The sequence below is a fragment of the Homo sapiens genome, chromosome 2 (assembly GCF_000001405.40).
Source record: "Homo sapiens chromosome 2, GRCh38.p14 Primary Assembly".
Classification (NCBI taxonomy): domain Eukaryota; kingdom Metazoa; phylum Chordata; class Mammalia; order Primates; family Hominidae; genus Homo; species Homo sapiens.
The window spans coordinates 46,153,183-46,172,834 of NC_000002.12; the positions used below are offsets into that span (position 1 = coordinate 46,153,183).

Genomic DNA, 19,652 nt, shown 5'->3' on the forward strand with positions numbered 1-19,652 from the left:
TTTTAATAAATTAAAAATATATCAATAGGTAGCCACAATTGGGATAAGAGAAGTGAAGGAGGCAAATAGAGTATGTTCATTCATGCATTCATTTATTAAACAAATATTTATTGAGCATCTAGTAAAGACTATTTATTCATTTATTCTATAAATATTTATTGGCAGGCACTATGCCAGGCGCTGGTGATACAAACAACACAGTCCCTGCTTACAGACTAGTGAATAAATGAACAGACAAATGACTGTATATTGTACTAAATGGTAACAAGTGCAAAAAGACACATGCAGAGGCTCAGGAAATGAGGAGCAACAGGCTGCATGGGGTGCTCTTGAGTCTGGAAATGCCTGTCCCATGAGGGGACACTAAGGCGAGGTTTCAGTCAGGTGGCTACTGGGGGAAAGGGCGTCTGTTCAGAAGGAAGAGCAAGTGCACAGGCCTTGGACTAGAAAACATCTGCCAGGGTGGACAACCCAAAAGGAGCTCAGGGAGAGTGGGCACGAGGAGGGTGACGGGATGGCGGTGTCTGAGTATGCAGGGCTGCTTCTTCTTCTTCGTCCTCCTCTTCCTCTTCTTCCTCCTCTTCCTCTTCTTCTTCTTCTTTTTTTTTTTTTTTTTTTTTTTGAGACCAAGTCTCGCTCTGTCACCCAGGCTGGAGTGCAGCGGCACGATCTCTGCTCACTGCAACTTCCGCCTCCCGGGTTCAAGAGATTCTCCTGCCTCAGCCTCCCGAGTAGCTGGGATTACAGGCGCCCACCACCATGCCTGGCTAATTTTTGTATTTTTAGTAGAGGCAGGGTTTCACCGTGTTAGCCAGGATGGTCTCCATCTCCTGACCTCGTGATCCGCCCGCCTCAGCCTCACAAAGTGCTGGGATTACAGGCGTGAGCCTCCACGCCCGGCCTGGGTATGCAGGGCTTCTTATGCCACGAGAGCTTCCATTCGATTCCCAGTGCAGGGCTAACCCTCGGAGGACCAGACAGGGGAGGGACCTGGCTGGTACACCTAGAAGGTAGCTCTGGCTGCTGGGGAGAGCGTGGTCTGGAGGGTGCCTCTCCTGCCAGCCTCCAAAAGTCCTCCACCCTTGCCCCAAGCCAGTGAGGAGGCCTCGGGGGTACTAGTCTTATTTAGGGATACTAGTTTATCCAACTTTCCAAATTCAATGTGTGTTCTGGGCTGGGCCTCTCACTCCGAGAATGGTTCTTGCTACTCGTGGAAATTACTTCTGTTGCACTTCTCTGCCTTGATGTCCTCACGGCCCTCCCCACCCCGCCCCACCCCCCCCAACCCCCCCGCCCGCCGCCGCATTTCTCCTCGGCCCCCTGTGGCTCTTTGAAGCTTTCAGGACCCCTGCCTTGGAGCCTCCCAGCCACATTCACTGGCTCAGCCAAGCCCCTCCGTGTTAAAGTCCTCCTTGTCCTCGCCCTCTGGGACTGGGTCTCCTCTGGCATTGGGCGGCTGCTTCTCCATCTCCTTTGCTACCCCTTTCTCCTGCTGCCCTCTTAGTGCCAACATTTTCATAGGTTGACTCAGTAGCATTTTCTCAGTGAGGCTTTTTTTTTTTTTTTTACAAAAAACTAAACCTTGTCCCCTTCCCTATCCACCTTTATCCTGCTCAGTTGATACCTGATAGCAGTTTCCACTTTCTAACCCACTATATATATTATGTATTATGTTTATTGTCTATTTCCTTCCACAAGACTGAGCTTCGTGAGGGCAGGAACGTTTTCCAGCTTATTTCTCAGACGCGTCCCAAGGGCTGAGAACAGTGCCAAGCACATTGTAGGAGCTATGTAACTGTTTGATAAAAAACAGAAACAGCTCTTAGCTCTCTGTTCTTTCCATTTTATCACATATTTCAAAGTTAAATGCCTGCAAGAGCCCAGCAGGAGCTGTGGAAGGTGAACAGGACTGGGTGGGGCAGGGTAAACGGAGACCCCTCATGATCCCCCAGCAGCAACGAGGACTTCACCTCACCAGATCTGGCTTTCCAAGAGAAGCACGAAATCCAGATTTTTATGTAAAAATCTCGAAACATTAAATGATTATAACTAGTTCAATTAAATGATTACAACTAGTTCAACTGAGAGCCAAGGAAAACTTTGACCTGGGTGCCTCTTGGGTGAATCTTTGATGGACCCCTTCAAGGAGCTCTTCTCAGCTCCTTGCTGGTGTCACTCGCGGGCCCCTGTTCGGCTCCTTCATGAATGGATTCTGGTCACCGCCTCTCTTGTTCCTCAGGCCTGGGCCCCGGGTCCTCTGGGTACCCTGTGCTCTCCCCTGCACAGCACTCTCCCACTTCCCACCCTGCACTCAGGGAGGGGTATCCCCAGCCAGACCCATCTTCCAGCCTCCAGGCCTGTGTTTCCAGTTCCCTACTCACTTTCTCCCTTCAGCTGGCCAGGGGTCCCTCACATTCAGTATACTCCCAAACAGCTCTGGATGGTCCCCCTCAAATCTGCTCACTCTCAAATTCCTTGGTTCAGTAAATGGCACCCTGTCTTCCTTTCTAAACAGACCAGAAATGGGGTGCAATCCCTCTCTCCCCATCACAGCTAGTCATCAAGTCCGTTCCCCCTGCTAACCTTTTCCATTTGAGTTACCTTTCTCCATCCTTCTCCCCACTATCCCCATTGGAGCCACCACCGCCTCTCCCTTGGTGAACTGCAGGACCTCCTAACGGGCAGCCCTTCTTGTGTCCTTCTCATCTCTGTACGTCTATCAGAGTGATCTCTTAGTGGGTGCAGCGCACCAGCATGGCACATGTATACATATGTAACTAACCTGCACAATGTGCACATGTACCCTAAAACTTAAAGTATATAAAAAAAAAAAAAACTTCATGTACAAAAAAAAATAATAAAATGTTTGTTACGTGGAAAAAAAAAAAAAAAGAATGCAAATCTAGCCATTTCGCGCCTCATCCCCTACTTAAAACTCATCACATTGTGATTAGATAAAGACCTTCTCTTCCACATAGCCTCCAGGGTTCTGCATCAGGCCCCGCCTCCCCCTCAGCCCTTCCCCGTCATCTGCTGGGCTCTGGCCATATTGGACCACTCTCCCCTGTGCCCTTTTTGCCTAGGTACATTCCTCCTTCAGGTCTCAGCCTAGGTGTTGCCTCTCAGGGAATGCTTTGCCAAGTTCCTTGCCCATCACACTGTCAGAGCCTGCTGTGCTTCTCTCAGGGAGTTCATCACAGTCTCAGCTAATTGATTCTCTGGCAGTTACGTGTTTCTTCTCAGCCTCCTTTACTCTTCTACATGCCCCGTGAGGGCAGGGACCGTGTCTCATCACTCACCACAGCACTTGGTACAGAATGGAGACTCATGTGTGTGCAAAGGAAGGAGAGAAGGGATTTTCACCGATGAGTACAGGGCACCTGCTAGGCAAGGCATTCAGCGAGACTGTCTGCATCCAAAAATGGCTCCCAGCCTCTTCCATCCTGACCTTCCTACAGGAAAGCACTTTAGGAAGGGCACGTCACCCAGTGGGAAGGAGCCTTGCTTAGGGGGACTCTGTTGTCCAACTTTTCAAATTCTGTTTTGTTCAGTTTATATATTTAGGCCTTAAATATTTCATTATTTGCTTGCTGGTTTGATCACATGCTATTTTTTTAAAAAACACAAAGCATAAAATCAGATACAGTGAAAGGTCTCTGTCTCATCCTTGCTTCCATCTGCCCACCTCCCACACACTCTCTACTTATGTTTTGAGGCTTTTATATATCCTTCTGGAATTTCTTTAGGTATATACAAGCAATACAAATATAACTTCTTATTTCTTTTTCTGTGTTATACAATGGTAGGAATGCTGTACACGTATCTCATTTTCCTGTCGATGGTGTATCTTGCTTTTTCTACTCAGTGAGATCTTGCAACAGGCATATCTTCATTGGTTCTGCCTCTACTTACACTTTGGAGCTGCAACTCTGAATCACTGCAGAGGACTCTCTTGGGTAATTAACTTGGGGTGGACATGGGAGCTTTTGTCTCCTGATTCCCGGAGCCCCATCTCTTCCCAAGTCAGATGAGTAACTAAAGGAAAACCTCAGCCGCACCCGAGTCCACCAGAACACCATGCCCAGCAGAGCTGGCCACCATCCCAGGCCCCAACACCAGCCCATCACACCTCCCTGTGAGTCCCCTGCCAGCATACCAGCTGAGCCCTTTTATTTTGGAGGCCTTAGAGCAGTGGCCTTTAACTAGGGGCAATTTTGTCCTGTTCCCTTAGACATTCAGTAATGTCTGGAGATATTTTTGGTGCTGCTGGCATGTAGCAGGTAGAGGCCATGGAGGCTGCTAAACTGCCTGCAATGCACAGGACAGCTCCCCCCACCCACCCTGCAAAGAAGTATCCAGTCAAAAATGTTAATAGCATGAAGGCTGAGAAACCTTAACCTACAGAGATCCAGAAGTTAGAAGTCGTGCCTAACCGGTTAACCAGTTCGTGAGGGTGAGACGTTCATGAGAAGAGCATCTTCCAACTGAGAAGAGCCTCTGGCTCAGGGGCAGCTTCTTAAGATGCCCAAACCTCTATGTGTATCCCTGACCCTGATACTTCCCCTCCCAGAAAAGGGAGGACGGGAGGAGCTGAGGAAGTGAGGAATCTACTACACCCTTGGCCTCAAAACACTTCATTTCCTCACACTGTCACTTGACTGCAGGGCCAGGCCAGGATTTCCATGACTCTAGCCACTGAGCTGTGTCTCCGAGGGCTACTGCCTATGTGAAGGTGATGCAGAACTTTAGAGAAGGCCATTTGTATCATAGAAGTATGCAGTGCACAACCTGTGCAACAATAAGCGGCTGTGCCACAGTCTCCCTCCCTCAGTGCTATGCCCTGAGGCCCAGCCTTTAGCCCCTCACTCCATCATCACAATTTGCTGAGTGTACAGTGGGAACCAGGCACTGAGCCAGGTTTGGGGCAGATAAGACAGATTCCTAAATCATAGAGCTCACCAAGGGGAAGAGATGTTTAGACAAATCATAATTTAAATAAACCAGAAGCCTGGGGTCTAAGATATCAACAGAGGAGGGAATGTGGGGAGGCTTCACAGAGGAGGTAGCATTTTGACTAGTTCCTAGAGGAGGCCTAGGGACTGGAGAGGGACATTCAACCAGAGGGAAGAAAGAATGCAAAAGGACAGCAAGGTAGACAGGGTTCAGGCTGAGGAGCTCCTGTGTGCCAAACTAAGGAGTATGGACTTCATGGTGGGGGCCATCCAAGGTGTTAAAGTGGGGGTCACCTTGCTGACTTGTAGATGAGAAAGATGAGGTGCACTGGTACCATTCCTGACTCACACCTACTCTCCACCCCTTTCACTCTTTATCTGGGGCTGCCCCCTCCAATCGCATTGAACTCGAGGCCAGGTGCTTTGGTTCCAAGGGCATCAGGCAAGAAATAGTTAGAGGCTCTCTCCCTTGCTGATGAAGCCTGAAATTCTACCAAAGATGTATTCCTTTGGATTACAGTTTATTCTCTCAAGTTCCTCTGTTTAGATAGATATTCAGCCTTCACACTATGAAATGTGACATTTTGTCTCTAACACTCATGCACATACAATACATACATGCCATTATTTCGGGTAGCTATCAGAAATATTTCCACCTACTGGCACTTTTTTTCCCCAAGGTTTTATTGGTATACGTATGCTCAATTAAATTAACGTTTACCCTCAGGACTGACTCATTTAATAGGAATAACAAGTTCACCTGGGTGTGTAGGGATCGCCAGACACCACCCAGAAAATATAAAACACATCAATGTGATTTTCACCTACAAGCATTGAAAAGGAATAAGCCTTTCTTTTTCTTGTTTTTTATCTTTTGACCTTCATGGGCATTTTGTGTCAAGATTGCAAATTCAAACATAAAAACAGTGGAGAGGGGCTGGGTCCAGGAACAGGAAAGGAGCTGGAGGAGGCATTAGTACATTTGATCATTTACCTGGTCCTTATTCCTTATCTCAAAAAGGACCGTTGACCCCTCCATGTAAATGAGTTTATCAGACCTCAGTCTCCCTGATGAGAAGACCTGAGAATCTGAGGGGGATCACAGAGTCAGTAAGAGCCAGAGTGCATAATCCCAGCTTGGTCCCTTACTAGCTGGGTGACTTTGGCCAAATTAGCTGACCTCTGTGTGCTTCTAGTGCCTCGTTTATAATATAGAGACAATGATAGTACCTCGTAGGGCATTAGGATGAAATGAGTTGATACATGTACCATGTCTAGAATGGTGTCTGGGACATAGTCAATTCTATGTAAGAGTTAAAGAAAACCCAACAGATGTGGCCCTTGAAAGTGCAAAGAACAGACTTGGGAGGCGATGCTGAAGATGCTGCTTTGGCTGACCTCCATCTGTCCCTTATAGCCTGTGCTGGCCAGGCCTTTGTCACTAATTCCGACTCTGTCCTCATCCCTGCAGTTCATGACGAAGAATCCCCACAAGCGCCTGGGCTGTGTGGCATCGCAGAATGGCGAGGACGCCATCAAGCAGCACCCATTCTTCAAAGAGATTGACTGGGTGCTCCTGGAGCAGAAGAAGATCAAGCCACCCTTCAAACCACGCATTGTAAGTTGGTCCCCGTGCACGTTCAGCACCATGGGTCGGGCCCAGGTACTTGCAGGACAGGCTGCGTGCACCCAGGAAGAGTTGGTCAGGGGATGCGTATTACAGTAAAAATGACAAAGACCAGAGGTGGCTGAGGCTCTCCCTAAGACAATGTCTTTAGGCCCCAAGTGTTTACTATTGAAAACATGTAACCTACTACAGCAGCACCCAAGATGATGATTTACGTGGGCCACAGAACACCTTTTGTCTTTACAGAGATTCAATTTATTTATTTTGATTGAAAATGACAAATGATACTAGTTTTCCATGTATGGTAGAGACATAAGGTTTCTTTATGAAGAACTGGGTTTGTTTTCTAAATGGGTCAGTTTAAAGGAAAATATTAACTAAATAATAGCCGTGGTCATTCCGTGGAACTAGCACAGAGCATGAAGCTGGGATTCACTGACTGGCAGCAGGAAGGATGGTGCTGGGGGGAGCTTCTGGGAGGCCCACTGCGTAAAAGTGCATTTCTGTGAGATACCCTCTCCCTTCTCTGCCGCACTCTCCCTTCTGCCTTCCAGATTCTCAGGCCTGCTGTGATGCCAGTTGGAGGGGGCATGTAACACAGGGCAGTTGAAGCTCAGAGCTTTCAGTCTGGGCTCGACTCACAAAATAAAGACCACGTCCTGGCAGTGGCCTTCTGCTGGAATGGGGCGAGGGTCATGTTGCAGTCCTTAAAGTTACAGCGTGTGTTATCTTAATTCTGTTGTGTTGTAGCCCGTTGAAGCAATCAATCATTCAGACTGAAAATTGAGGTAGCCGGCTGGCAGGCTTGCTGGGAGGTGAAGGGGGGTGTGCAATGTAAGAGTTTATTAGGCAGGAGCCCCAGTGCTGTGGGGCTGTGGAACTGGGGTCCCAGGCAGGGAGGATTTGCCATCAGGCAGTCAGCCCTCAGTCACCCAGCATACTGTCAGATGAGCTCCTGCTCCCCTTCTCCAAGTGCAGAAAAGACCTTCCTGTGCCTTGTGAACCATCAGAGAGGAATTCCGTTCTATTCAAGGAGATTTTCTGGGGAGCCGTTATTGACAATGTTGTGATTCTCAGAAATCTTCCACGGTGGGAGTGGGAGTGGGGGTGGGGGATAGTGTCAGTGGACGGGTGTGGTCCAGGCCTCAACCAGACTCGAGCACGTGGGGTTGAACATCCCCGGATGCTTGGTCCCGTTACCACTCCTCATTCGCTTCCTCCTTTGGTTTTCATGTTTTCACTGGATAGCACAAGCTTGGGACAGCCCAGATTTAGGTTCACCTTCTTTCTTTGTAAATATCACTTCCTCTTCAGCCCATCTCCACCACAGCTCCAGGCCCACCATTCCAAGCCAGGAGGGCGTAGACTCTAAGCTCCCTGGGTTAACTGTCCCCTGCTGCCACAGGGCTCCCTGCACATGCCAGCCTGCCCCATTGCTGGGGGCTGAGGGCCTCTGCCAGTCACCTTTAAGGAAAGGATTAACTGTGCCCCTGGTAAAATAGGGGAAGTAGGACCCCAGAGGCCTAAAAAAGGAGGAGGAGAAACTAAAGGCTCAGATGGTAGGGTGAATTTTAACTTCTATTTAATCTAAGTTAATCAACCCAAAGAAAAATTAGAAGTAGTGCTAAGTGAAGAATCGAGGCCCAACTAACAGAAACACAGGATGAGACTGAAGCTGAGGGGATTATCAGTGCAGGGCTACAAGATGACTTAAACTCGAGTCTCCAGGTCTCAGCAAAACCACATTAAACCAGGCTTATGGAGCACCAGGCCCCAGCTGTACTGGCAGAGGCGGAGGAGCAGCCCCTTCCTGCTTGGGGAAGAGTGGGGAGGACAAGTGAAGCCCAGGGGGAACCATCAGCAAGGGGTGTGAGGAGAGAGAGGGTCTGGGGTGTGGCAGAGGAAGCCAGGGGGTTTTTATTGAGAGGCCACGAGGTGGGAAGGAAGTAGGGAAGAACCTTAATCATAAAAGGCACAGAGGAGGTTTTAGAGTGTGGATTCATGAAGAATCGTCTCTCCCTGAGGTATAGCAGATTCCAGAACACTGCCAAAGCCCTTCCCTTCACAGGAATCCCTCACTGGGACTCCCAACTTTTAGTTTGAGACTTTGAGCCAATGAAAGTGCAGGCCTTCTGAGAGGCATCCCTCTTTGAGCAGCACATGGCAGGAAGGGTATGAAGAACAGGGGTGAGGTGAACAGGTGTGGGTCTGAGGGATGGGGAAAAACCTAGACAGAAAGGAAGAGAGGGAAGGACAAACCGGGAGGGAGGCAGGCACGTGACTTACTCCACTAACACGCAGGCATTGCCTTGCCTCAGACAGGCAGGGAGCCCCTTAAAGCTCTCCCTGGCCAGAAGTGAAGGTGTTCCTGTGGGCAGGGGTATGAGGGGGTCTGGGAGCCAGCAGGAGGAAATATATCCCTGGGTCAGGGGTCAGGCAGGAGTCCACCTCTGCCTGGATGTCTAGAGCAAAAGGGACCTGTGCTTTCTGTCCTTGGGCCTCTTGGGAGCTCCCCCTTGGGACTAAAGAGCCAGAAAGACCCTGTTTGCTTTCTTTTGCCTGGAGGGTCAAGGAAGCTTTCAGGGTCCTTATCACCCCCTGAGAGGATGGCAAAGAGAAAGGATGGGGCTGTCCAGGAGCTCCCACCGATTTCAAAACTGCCTCAGTCAGACTTCTTAAAGACTGACTTCATCGTTGCCTTGAAGTGATCTCCTGTGCATGTTCCCACTCTCCCTGCCTCCCCAGACCTTCAGAGTTAACCTCAATGCTCAGTGCTGTGGAGGGGGGCGGGGTCAGGGGAGAGGGTATTGATTAGGTAGGTTTGAATTCAGTTGGGAGGAGAGAATTAGAACATCTGGAAAAAGGAAGGCTAAAACGGAAAGCTGACGTTGTGTAAGAGGTGTTTCTGGCCACACTTTGAGCTGAGTAATGTTGATCCTTAGAGAGTTCTCAGCTGCAGGTCTTTCAAGACTTCTTCAAGTTATTTAAATGTCTGACATTTACAACCTTGGCACTAGAGATTTCTCTCAGGAGAAATACCAAAATTGGGGAAAAAAAATAAACGAGAGTGGTCCACATCTAGTTAGCAGGTTGGAAAAGTGACCCAAATCTGTCCCTAAATCAAAAGCTCTTTTCTGAAAAATGTCAATGGCACCAGCCCGAGTCATCCGTGGGCTTGTGTAGAAAAAGCAGAAATAAATAAAGCCCAAGGATTAAAGCCCATGGCAGTGATGCACATACTGCATTTCTCATCTCAGAAAGCCTCAAAAGACTAGTGGGAAAACTCACTTGAGGTTTTCATACGCCATCGCGCCCCTGTAACCAACTCAGGGTTGACCCCGGGGATGTGGGTGCCTGCCTAGCTCAGGTACCAGCAGTGAGGACAACTCTGTGCTGCATAAGCAGAGTCAGCCTTACCACAGGCAAAACAGATGGCCACCCACAGAGGCCACTGGAGAGCCATGGGGAAGTGGAGGGGCACCCCACAGAGGGCACTGAGAGACACAGGGAAGCTGAGGTGCATCCCCATAGAGGCCACTGAGAGCCATGGGGAAGCTGAGGTGCACCCCACAGAGGCCACTGAGAGCCACGGGGAAGTTGAGCTTCATCCCCACAGAGGCCACTGAGAGACACGGGGAAGCTGAGGCACTCCCCACAGAGGCCACTAAGAGACACAGGGAAGCTGAGGCACACCCCACAGAGGCCACTGAGAGACACGGGGAAGCTGAGCTTCATCCCCACAGAGGCCACTGAGAGACACGGGGAAGCTGAGGCACTCCCCACAGAGGCCACTAAGAGACACAGGGAAGCTGAGGCACACCCCACAGAGGCCACTGAGAGACACGGGGAAGCTGAGCTTCATCCCCACAGAGGCCACTGAGAGACACAGGGAAGCTGAGGCACACCCCACAGAGGCCACTGAGAGACACGGGGAAGCTGAGGCACACCCCAAAGAGGCCACTGAGAGACATGGGGAAGCTGAGGCGTACCCCACAGAGGCCACGGGAAAGGTGAGGTGCACACCACAGAGGCCACTGAGAGACATGGGGAAGCTGAGGCACACCCCACGGAGGCCACTGAGAGACACAGGGAAGCTGAGGTGCACCCCACAGAGGCCACGGGAAAGGTGAGGTGCACCCCACAGAGGCCACTGAGAGACACAGGGAAGCTGAGGCGCACCCCACAGAGGCCACTGAGAGACACGGGGAAGCTGAGGTGCACCCCACAGAGGTTGTGGTGAGGTGGCTTCTATTCAGGGGGCAGATTGCCATCACAAGACAGGATTTCCTTGGGCTTAAGGTATCAAATAACTTGAGGACATGTGAGATGCCTTCCTAGCAGAGCTGGGAAAGAAAGGGCTTTGACAGAGGGAAGAGGGAAAACTGGTTTAGATCCCGACATTGGGAAAAAACCTCCAAGTTACTGGATCACAAGCAGCCAGGGACAATGTGCAGTTGTTGGTCCTGGGTCTTTGACAGACTCCAGGTCAAAGGCAAGACACCGTGAGAAGGGAAAGGATCAAGTCTGTGAGCAAACACCATCAGCCTTGCAATTTGATGGTGGCCTCAAGGAGACATTGGGCGTGTGTTTAAACAAGCAAGGAAGGCAGCTGTACAAGTGCCCTAATCTGGTAAAACTGAATACCTCCAAGGTGACTCAGTCAAGTGCCTGAAGCCCCTGAGGGAGCTCCAGGTTTCCTCTGTCGTGTGTTACCTCCACTTGCTTCCAAGCCATGCCCTTTTGGCATCATACTAGAATGACACCAGTCTCCAGAAACCTGAATTACCCCACTCCTCAGCTGGCCATACTGAATCTGGGTGACCCGGGGCGGGGGGTGCCCTGCCTGTCTGATACAAGGAGGACCTGGTTTTGTCAGGTGGTTGGTGCTGGAGGTGAGGCTGGGAGAGGTCATGTCACTTACAAGAGCCAGGATGCAGTGGCATATTTTTGCAGAGCTCCTGACCCTCTCCACTCTCACTACAAGGACAGAGCCCCTTCGTGGAAGAACCTGCCAGGCACAACAAGGCTGTACTCTGCCCAGGCTGGCTCGCTAGAGGCTGGGGACCCCTGGGTCACCACCACAGAGGCCGAGGATGCAACAGCACAACAGCTTTCAGGCCTGACTTCCATTCCTGCACAGGAAGCCTCGCCCCTCTGAAGCTATCACCAAGGAGATTGTCCAGATTCATAGCTGGAATTTGGCCTCTGGTCAGGTTCCATCACATACCTCAGTTGGCTTCTATTCCCCCCAGGCTTTTGCCTTCTTGAGATGTCTGCTAAGCTGAGATTTCTGCTCCCCCGGCTCCTAAGCCTCCCTTGTCTAACCCCTGCCCTGACTCACCAGCTGTCACTAGTCCAACTGGGTTTCCTGACTACAGGCCAACATCCCTTTGTACTAACCCCCACCCAGTGCAGTTTTCAGTGGCCTCTGCTTCAGCGTGGAGACTTTCCTGTCTTTCGTTCTCTCAGCTCTCTTACGTACTCTCCCTCCTCCACTTTCCCTTTTGTATTCCTCTTGTTCACCCTCTGTCCACCCACATAATGAACTGAGTTTGTGCAAGTGATGTGCCATCAACACCAAACCAAAGACTTTGCACCATCATGTACTCAAGTCAATTTTCCGGGGGTGGCTTGCTTCAGAGCAAGGACACACAGTGGGGGGCTGTTTGGTGGCAAATACTCCAGCACTGAGGGGTTGGGGAGACAGGAAAGCCAGCAAGGCTGGAGCCAAAGCCTTCGATGCTGGAGAAAATCTCCAACCCTAGAATTCACTGGTCTATCCCATTGGGGATTTCATCCCAAGATGATGGCCTTGTCTAATTGCCAATAACAGTAGCACATTTCGCTTTTGTGTTACTGATGGGCTTGCCTTCTCTGGGGACTGGAGGGGCAGAGCGATGTGTTTGGTGTGGTTGAAGGGCATCATCTGACCTTGCAGATCTTGGGGATGTTCTGCTCACTCCTGGCTTCTCCGCTGTGTACCCATTCCTTCCCCTCAAAAGCGTTCAGCTCTGAGACTCTGGCTCCCAGGGCTTCAGCACTGGAATGGGGGGAAGCCAGCGTAGGAGGGAGAGATTTGCCTCCCCAGAAACCTAGTTGTCCTCAGTGAAAGCCAGAGGCAATGAGGGAAATGCTGGCCAAGTAAACTTCTCTTTGTGTACATGTTCTCTTTTTTCAAGTTTGCTTCAGTGTGAATGTCCCTCTTTAAGGTAAGGCCTCCAGAGTGGGGAGTCTCTCCAGGTAGGTGAGCCCTCAGGCCCGGTGACATAGAGGCCCCTCTCAACCTCATGATCCGTTTCCATCCAGCCATCCGCGCTGCATGGCGGGACCCCCGAGGGAGGCCTCTCCTGCATGCTCCTGCATGACTGGGCTGTGCTGAGAGAAAACCTGGGAAGTGGGCTCGAGACCCGCACACTTCACCAACTTAGCGACCTGAGGAGGAGCCCTGTTGAACAGGCAGCCCCTTCCCCTGAAGCCAGCCCACCTGCCTAGGGACCACCTGATAACATGGGTTGTGATGATGGAGGCCAGTCATGACACCATCCTCATCCTCTGTTCTGGCAGAGCTGGGGCAGGAGCAAGGCTGAGTTCTGCAGCCCCTCACGAGGACATCCCCCTGGACTGTGTCCACCACATCCAAGCGGCTTACCATCCAAGAGGCTACAAGAGCCCTCCAAGAGCCAGGACTCTGATCCAGGGCTGGAGGGCATGGGAAAAGTCCAGAAACCTGTTTTTGGTGGTTGACCCAGCGGGTGGCATGGTACAGTGGACAGGATACTGGCTTTGACTTCTGAGAGACTTGGGTTGGAAGAAAATTGCTCTCACAGGAAAGCCATGTGACACTCAGAATTCACCTCACCCCTGGACCTCTGGCTTCCTTGAGCCTCCTTATCTGTAAAATTGGGATACTATGATAATTCTTCACTCATGGAATTATTAACAGGAATAGCTGGGTACTGTGGTTCATACCTATAATTCCAGCACTTTGGGAGGCCAAGGCAGGCAGATCACTTGCACTCAGGAGTTCGAGACAAGCCTGGGCAACACGGTAAAACCCTGTCTCTACAAAAAATGCAAAAAGTAGCCAGGCGTGGTGGCATGCACTTGTAGTCCCAGCTACTTGGGAGGCTGGGGTGGGAGGATCGCTTGAGCTCAGGAGGTTGAGGCTGTAGTGAGCCATGTTCATGCCACTGCACTCCAGCCTGGGAGACAAAGGGAGATCCTGTCTCAAAAAGAATTATAAACAGGAATAGAATAAGTCTAAGCTACTTTGTGCACTGTAGATTCTCAATGAATTTTAATTCCTCTCTCTCCATTCACCACCCCTACCCTGGCCTTTGAACTTCTTCTCATCCCCAAACTCCAAGAATCAAGAGTTAAGAATTGCAGGAGGTTGGTGTGATGTTTGGAGGCTGGGCTTTGGAATCAGATGCAACCAGGTTCTAATTTGGGCTGTGGGATATTGGGAAAGTCACCACTTCTCTCTGAGCCTCGGTCTGCTGATCATAGCATGGGGGTTATAAATATCTACCACCTGGGGTTGCTGTGAAGCATCAACAAACCTAATTGCCTGAAATGAGTAGCACAGTGCCTGATACAGGTGAACACTTGGATGGTGTTGATGGTGTTGATGCTGTTGGTGAGGAGGACAACAGGAGCCTGAGGCCAAGGGAGGCTGGACTGGACAACACTCCTGTCCCAAAGGGGCTGACGGGCCAGGAGTTCAGATGAGGGGATGGCACCATCTAGCAAGGCACCAGCCATTACAGGGCAGAAAGCATCTGAAGGCAGGGAAGGAGCACAGTTCAGAATGCTGAGGCGCCTGCAGGGGCGTCATTCCAGCACAGCCACTGGTATGAGCTGGGGAGTGCCAAGGGGAGGGAGGTACTGCGAGGGTGACTCACCCCAGGTGCCAGCATTCCCAGCCCTTTTTGCCTCTTAGGATGGCACCCCAAGTTCTGCCACATTTTCTCAGCACCCCCCACCCCGCCCCCCGGTCCCCTGCTTTTACTCTGTGACCATGCTTACCACGTTGACGTTCGTTGACGTTCCCTGCCTTCATTCTCAGTAGTGTTTTTGCTGGGTACAGCTGTGCGGCCCTCAGCACCCCAGCCCTGAAGTGGTAGCAGTCACCAGTGAGACCCTGTTCCAGCACAGCAGGCTCCCAAATATTTCTAAGCGAAACAGCCTCAGTGGAGCATCTTTGACTCTGGACAAGTGATTTCGCCATTTTAGAATTCTGATTGCAGGAATTTTGCCATTTGAGAATTCTGATGGCAGGAACAATGATTTCACCATTAGAGAATTCTGATGGCAGGAACGTTCCTGTGGCCTGGGATTGGGAGGGCCATCATTTTCATCCCCTACCCCCACTCCAGGGAAGAGTGTGAGGCCTGGGCTGGCCTGGGCTTTGCTGGGCACTTTCATAAGCTCCTAAGCTTTTCTTTGTGTCTTAATGGCTGTTACTTTGGTATATGCCTTCCTGGGTTCATCAGACTAGTGTTTCTTGAACTTAATCTCCTCCCAGACCCACCTGCACTTGAAGTAACACACATACAACTCACCTGGGAGCATGGGAGGACTTCCTAGGCCACGCCTGATCAAACCAGAGGACAGCAGGAGGAATCAGGGAATGTTTCCTAGAGGAGCTGGAACTTGACAGAAAGCTGGGAGGGATCAGGAAGAAAGAACTATCTGCGAAAGGCATAAAAGGAGAAAGGGAAAGGCAAGATTCAGGTCAGTTATATTCAACAAGTGTTTGTTGAACATGTCCTTTGAGCCCTCTGTGAAGCCCTGAAGCCCTAGAGGGAGAAGCTTGACAAAGGCAAGGAAAGAATCTTCTGCCATCACCCTAACATTGCCACCTTGAAAAGCTTCGATGGCAGAAGACTTGATAATGCAAAATACTTAAGGGATAACAGGCAGTAGGGTAAAATCCGGCACCTGACTCCTAACAGGATGCTCATTTGGAAGAGGAATTTGGAGCTCTGCCTTTCAAGGTTTGAGGACAGAGAGAAGAGGGCCTCTGGGGAGGCTGGGAGCCAGCGTTTCTGTGGGTCCTGAGAGCCTATGTCAGCCCCCTTCTCATCTTGGGTCTTGCAGAAGATCCTATCCAAGTGGGTCTGCACTGCTGGATAAGCAATGCCCTCCTGCCTATCTCTGCGGAGAGGACTAAAGGATGGTCTGGCTGCCAGGAGGGACAGGGGTCAGAGCCTGGTTCGTGTGTATTGAAGTGAAGGCAGACAGAGCCTCAACCCTCCCTCACAGAGGGGCTCAGCCCTCCAGCCAGAATTTGTTCCCTGAAGGGTACAGGCACCAAGGGGCACTTTGCAAGCTGACTGGGGGGGTGTGTTCTGCCCACATCAAGTGGAGGACCTTTGATCTCCAGAGGCATATATGTCATGGAGAAGAGACACTCTGGGGAATCCAGTTTTGCACTTGGGGGATCAGTGCCTTCTTACCTTCCCATTGTTTGTGCTGGGGAGGGGGATGGTAACAGAATTAGGTTTGGCCTAAACTTAACATTCCATTGTTATTCTGGAATTCTGGGATTTGACTAATACACAGTGGGTTTGTGAAGGTTCATTAAGTTTCCACATCAACCTCAGTCTCCTCACTGTGAGAAGGCCTGGCCACATAGCAGCAGCCCTTCACCCTCCATGTTCCTCTGGCTACTCCTTTCTGGACCTATTTCGCCTTAACAGCAGCTTTCTTGGAGCACAGAGCTTGGAGATCAATGGAGTATTTCAGGTGTGAGAGCCCAGCTAGGCGTGGAAGAGGGTGGCAAATGGCTAGGCCAGGGAACTATGAAATATATTTGCCTTAAGTAAGGAGATGGAAAGATAAGCCCTCCAGAGTAGGGCTTATCAACTGAGATGACTTCGAAAATAAACCAGACCCTGACCTAGGACTTTAGCCGCACTCCGTCCCCCCTAGCGCAGCAGCTGACATATCAGCTAGTGTTGGCAGTAACAGGATTTGCAGACTTCCTGGGAGGCGTGGCAGACTCAGACTATAGGGACCTGGGGTGTGGGTGTTCAACCAAATAATTGAGAAGACAGTCACCCCAAAATGTGGCACTTCAGATTGAAGCACCCACCTTGTATCACAGGCAGTGAGCTAAGGGGAAGTGTTAGACAGAACTGGGTGCTAGTCCCCACTGTTACTGTCTGTGAGATGCTGAGAAATTCACTCAATCTCTCTGCTCCTTTCCTGTAAAATGAGGGACTTAAGTAATCCCTAAGATTTCTTCCAGCCCCAGCCATGTGAGAGCAGGGATTTGCAGGGTTTTTTAATCAATTGTATTGCAACAAAATTTACATAGAATAAATGCACCCATTTCAAGTCCACATTCTGATGCATTTGAAAAATGTCATACACCCATGTGACCACCAGCACAATAAGTATATAGAACACCTCCATCCTCCCAAGAAGTTTCCTGCCCATAGCCCCAGGCAACCCTGGTCTGCTTTCTGTCACTGGAGATTAGATTCGTCTTTTCTAGAGTTTCTTATAAATGGAGCCACATAGCATGTACTTTTTTTGTGTCTGCCTTCTTTCACTCAGCATCATGTTTTTGAGATTTGGGACTTATAATTTTAACTTTAGTACGGAAATTTCCAAACATATATAAAAGTAGAGCAAATCATTGAATGAGTCCCCATGTGTTCATCACCCAGCGTCAACAATTAGCAATGCACAGTAATTAGCAATTAGCAATCAAGGGAGAGAGTTACATCTGTTTTGTTCACAAATGCATCCCCAGCAGTTAGAACAATTCCTGGCACATAGTAGGTATTCAATCTATATTTGTGGAATGAACAAATGAATTCCCCAGATATACAGTGTTTTTTTCAGCTCTATCTCAAAATTCTCTTCTCACCTTTTATGGCTCAAGATCAGTTCCAGTATATGCCCGGGAATTTGGGGTCATAAGATCCTGCATTAGGAAACTTGAAATTATTGTTGAATGGTGAGAGAAGGTGGGTGACCTCGTCTTGACTTGAGAGGCACATATTAGAATGTTTACAGTTCCCATTTCACAGGCAGTGCAATAATAAATCCTGGGCCAAGAGAACTGATCTCTATCTAGAACATTTTCCTAAATAAGTGGGGGAGAGATTGGTAAGTGGAGGAACTGGGCCTTTGCCAGGGCCAGATTGGAAAGTTTCTTCTTTGGATACCAAAAATGTCCCTGGAATGGTAAACCCAACAGCTGTCAGCAATAAGACGGCTTTAAAAAGTAGATGATAAATGAAAAAGGTCCCCCAGTTAGAAGCAGAATGAGTCCAAGTTGCCACCGTTTTCTTACCCACTTCCAGCTGGAGACACAGGCTCCTGCTGCATCGCCAGGCTCGGGTCCTGCCACTGCACATCCTGCTGCGGGGGGCCAGCTCACTGCAGGGCCTGGCTCAGCAAGCTCAGGCCCCAGGCAAGCCAGGGCAGGCAGGGTACTGTCTCCTCCTAAGGCTCTTTATTCCTGGATAGCCACACAGCATTTTCTACATCGTGTTCTGTCCCAGGCATCTCCTGGGGTGCCCCTAATGTCTACGAAATAACCCCAAAAGACTTGGTGGTGATGGTGGCCTCTTGCACTGTGAGGGGTACACGGCAGAATGCAGTTGTTTGTTTGATGTTAACACAGCAACACCGCTATTGACAGAAACCATTGAACTGGCAGCTTATGCTGGGCACAGTGCTGCGTGTCTTTGTGCAGATGGCTGCATTGATGCCTCCCGGCAGTTCATCATGGGAGGCAGGATAGTACATGCCAGGGGCACAGCCTCGGGGTCAGAACAAGCTGATTCCAAGTCCTGACCCCACCTCTTGCCCAGCCTGCCTGTTAGACAAGACGTCTAATGCCTCCGAGCCCATTTCCCCATCTTTACAATGGAGATGTGATCACAGCACTCTCCTCCCTGTGGAGTGGGTGTGAGGTTACAAGAGCCGGGTGTTGAAGGCATCAAAGCACTGGCAAAGTCTCCATCTGCAGCTTTGTTATGTTTTCCTCCTAAAGAAGCTAAGGCTGTCCCAGGCACTGAGCTGGTGCTAAAAACACAAGGCAGATGCGCATGTGGAGCTCCGGTCCAGTGGAAAAGACACCTCAGACTGAGTCATCATTTAGCTCCAGTTATGAGGAGTACCAGGAAACAGAACCCCAGCACAAGGGTCAAGGTATATATAGGAGGGGACTAGCCTGGTTTGGGGATCATTCCCCCAGGAAGAGGCATTTCCTTTGCTGTACAGCAGCAGCAGACACGTCCCTTGAGTGGCCTCAGGAATGGTTTCAGAGCTCACGTGCAGCATCCTCTCAGTTCGACTCTTGGAGGGCCAGTGGGCTCAACGGTGGAGAGAATGGCTGTGGCTCTCTGCCGTCCTCCAGAGACTCTGCAGCGTTCATTCCATTAGCTGGGAGCCTGCAAAGCCAGGCTGAGCTGGGCCCTGCTAGTGTCAGAAGCGCCAGGCCCTCTTTCCCCCCAGGCACTGCCAGCCTCTTGCGGGAGCCAAGACTCCTGGGGCACTTAGCGACATATCCAGGCCATTCCTCAATCCCAGACTGGATGTCATCTGGGGCCAGTGTGCACTGGATGGACAATGTGGACTCATCCATAATCAGGTGGCCCCATGTGGCTGGAATGTATACTTTATATTTTTGTTACCAAATTTCAGAATCAACGTGTCACAGCCAAAGGAGTGTATAGGTGTGGGCCTGGGCAGGCCTGGGCGGGCCTGGGCGTGCCTGGGCGGCCCTGGGAGGGTTTGAGGAGCAGGAATAAGCGCCATCCCTCAGAACTGCCCAGAAATGCCTCCTTCACTAACAAGAATGGAGACATAATGTGTTTGGAGCTAACGCTTTGAGACTATTGACTTCACCTGCACTTAGAAGACACCTCTGGAAAGAGGCTTAGATACACAGTCTACATCCGGGGGAGTGTTCTCAGCCATTTTTACATGAGACAGCCTTCCCCACAGAGCACTGTATAGTCACTAAGTCCAGAGGGGATGCCCTGTGCTGGGGACCCTTGTGGTCTGAAAGACTTAAGCAAAAGGGGACACTTCAGGTCCTGAAAATA

General features: G+C 50.3%; 1 protein-coding gene across 18 annotated transcripts in view, besides 2 other annotated features; it reads left to right on the forward strand.

The window, feature by feature from the left end:
* The window catches only part of PRKCE (protein kinase C epsilon), a 536,712-nt gene that overhangs the window by 501,904 nt on the left and 15,156 nt on the right, over positions 1-19,652 (forward strand). For all 18 annotated transcript variants that reach the window (XM_005264428.2, XM_011532980.4, NM_005400.3 and 15 more), the window contains one exon: positions 6,424-6,570. In XM_005264428.2, coding sequence (XP_005264485.1) covers positions 6,424-6,570 — 147 coding nt within the window. The remainder of the gene's footprint in view (positions 1-6,423; positions 6,571-19,652) is intronic.
* Positions 14,835-15,022: a silencer, noted in NCBI's record as "fragment chr2:46395156-46395343 (GRCh37/hg19 assembly coordinates)". NCBI's record gives its function as "represses an EF-1alpha promoter that drives an FKBP-Casp9 reporter gene in an ReSE screen in phorbol 12-myristate 13-acetate-treated (for megakaryocytic differentiation) K562 erythroleukemia cells {active_cell/tissue: K562(+PMA)}" and the evidence as "EXISTENCE:reporter gene assay evidence [ECO:0000049][PMID:32094911]".
* Positions 18,080-18,662: an enhancer, noted in NCBI's record as "NANOG-H3K4me1 hESC enhancer chr2:46398401-46398983 (GRCh37/hg19 assembly coordinates)". NCBI's record gives its function as "activates a minimal SCP1, AML or CMV promoter by ChIP-STARR-seq in naive H9 embryonic stem cells {active_cell/tissue: H9 hESC(naive)}" and the evidence as "EXISTENCE:reporter gene assay evidence [ECO:0000049][PMID:30033119]".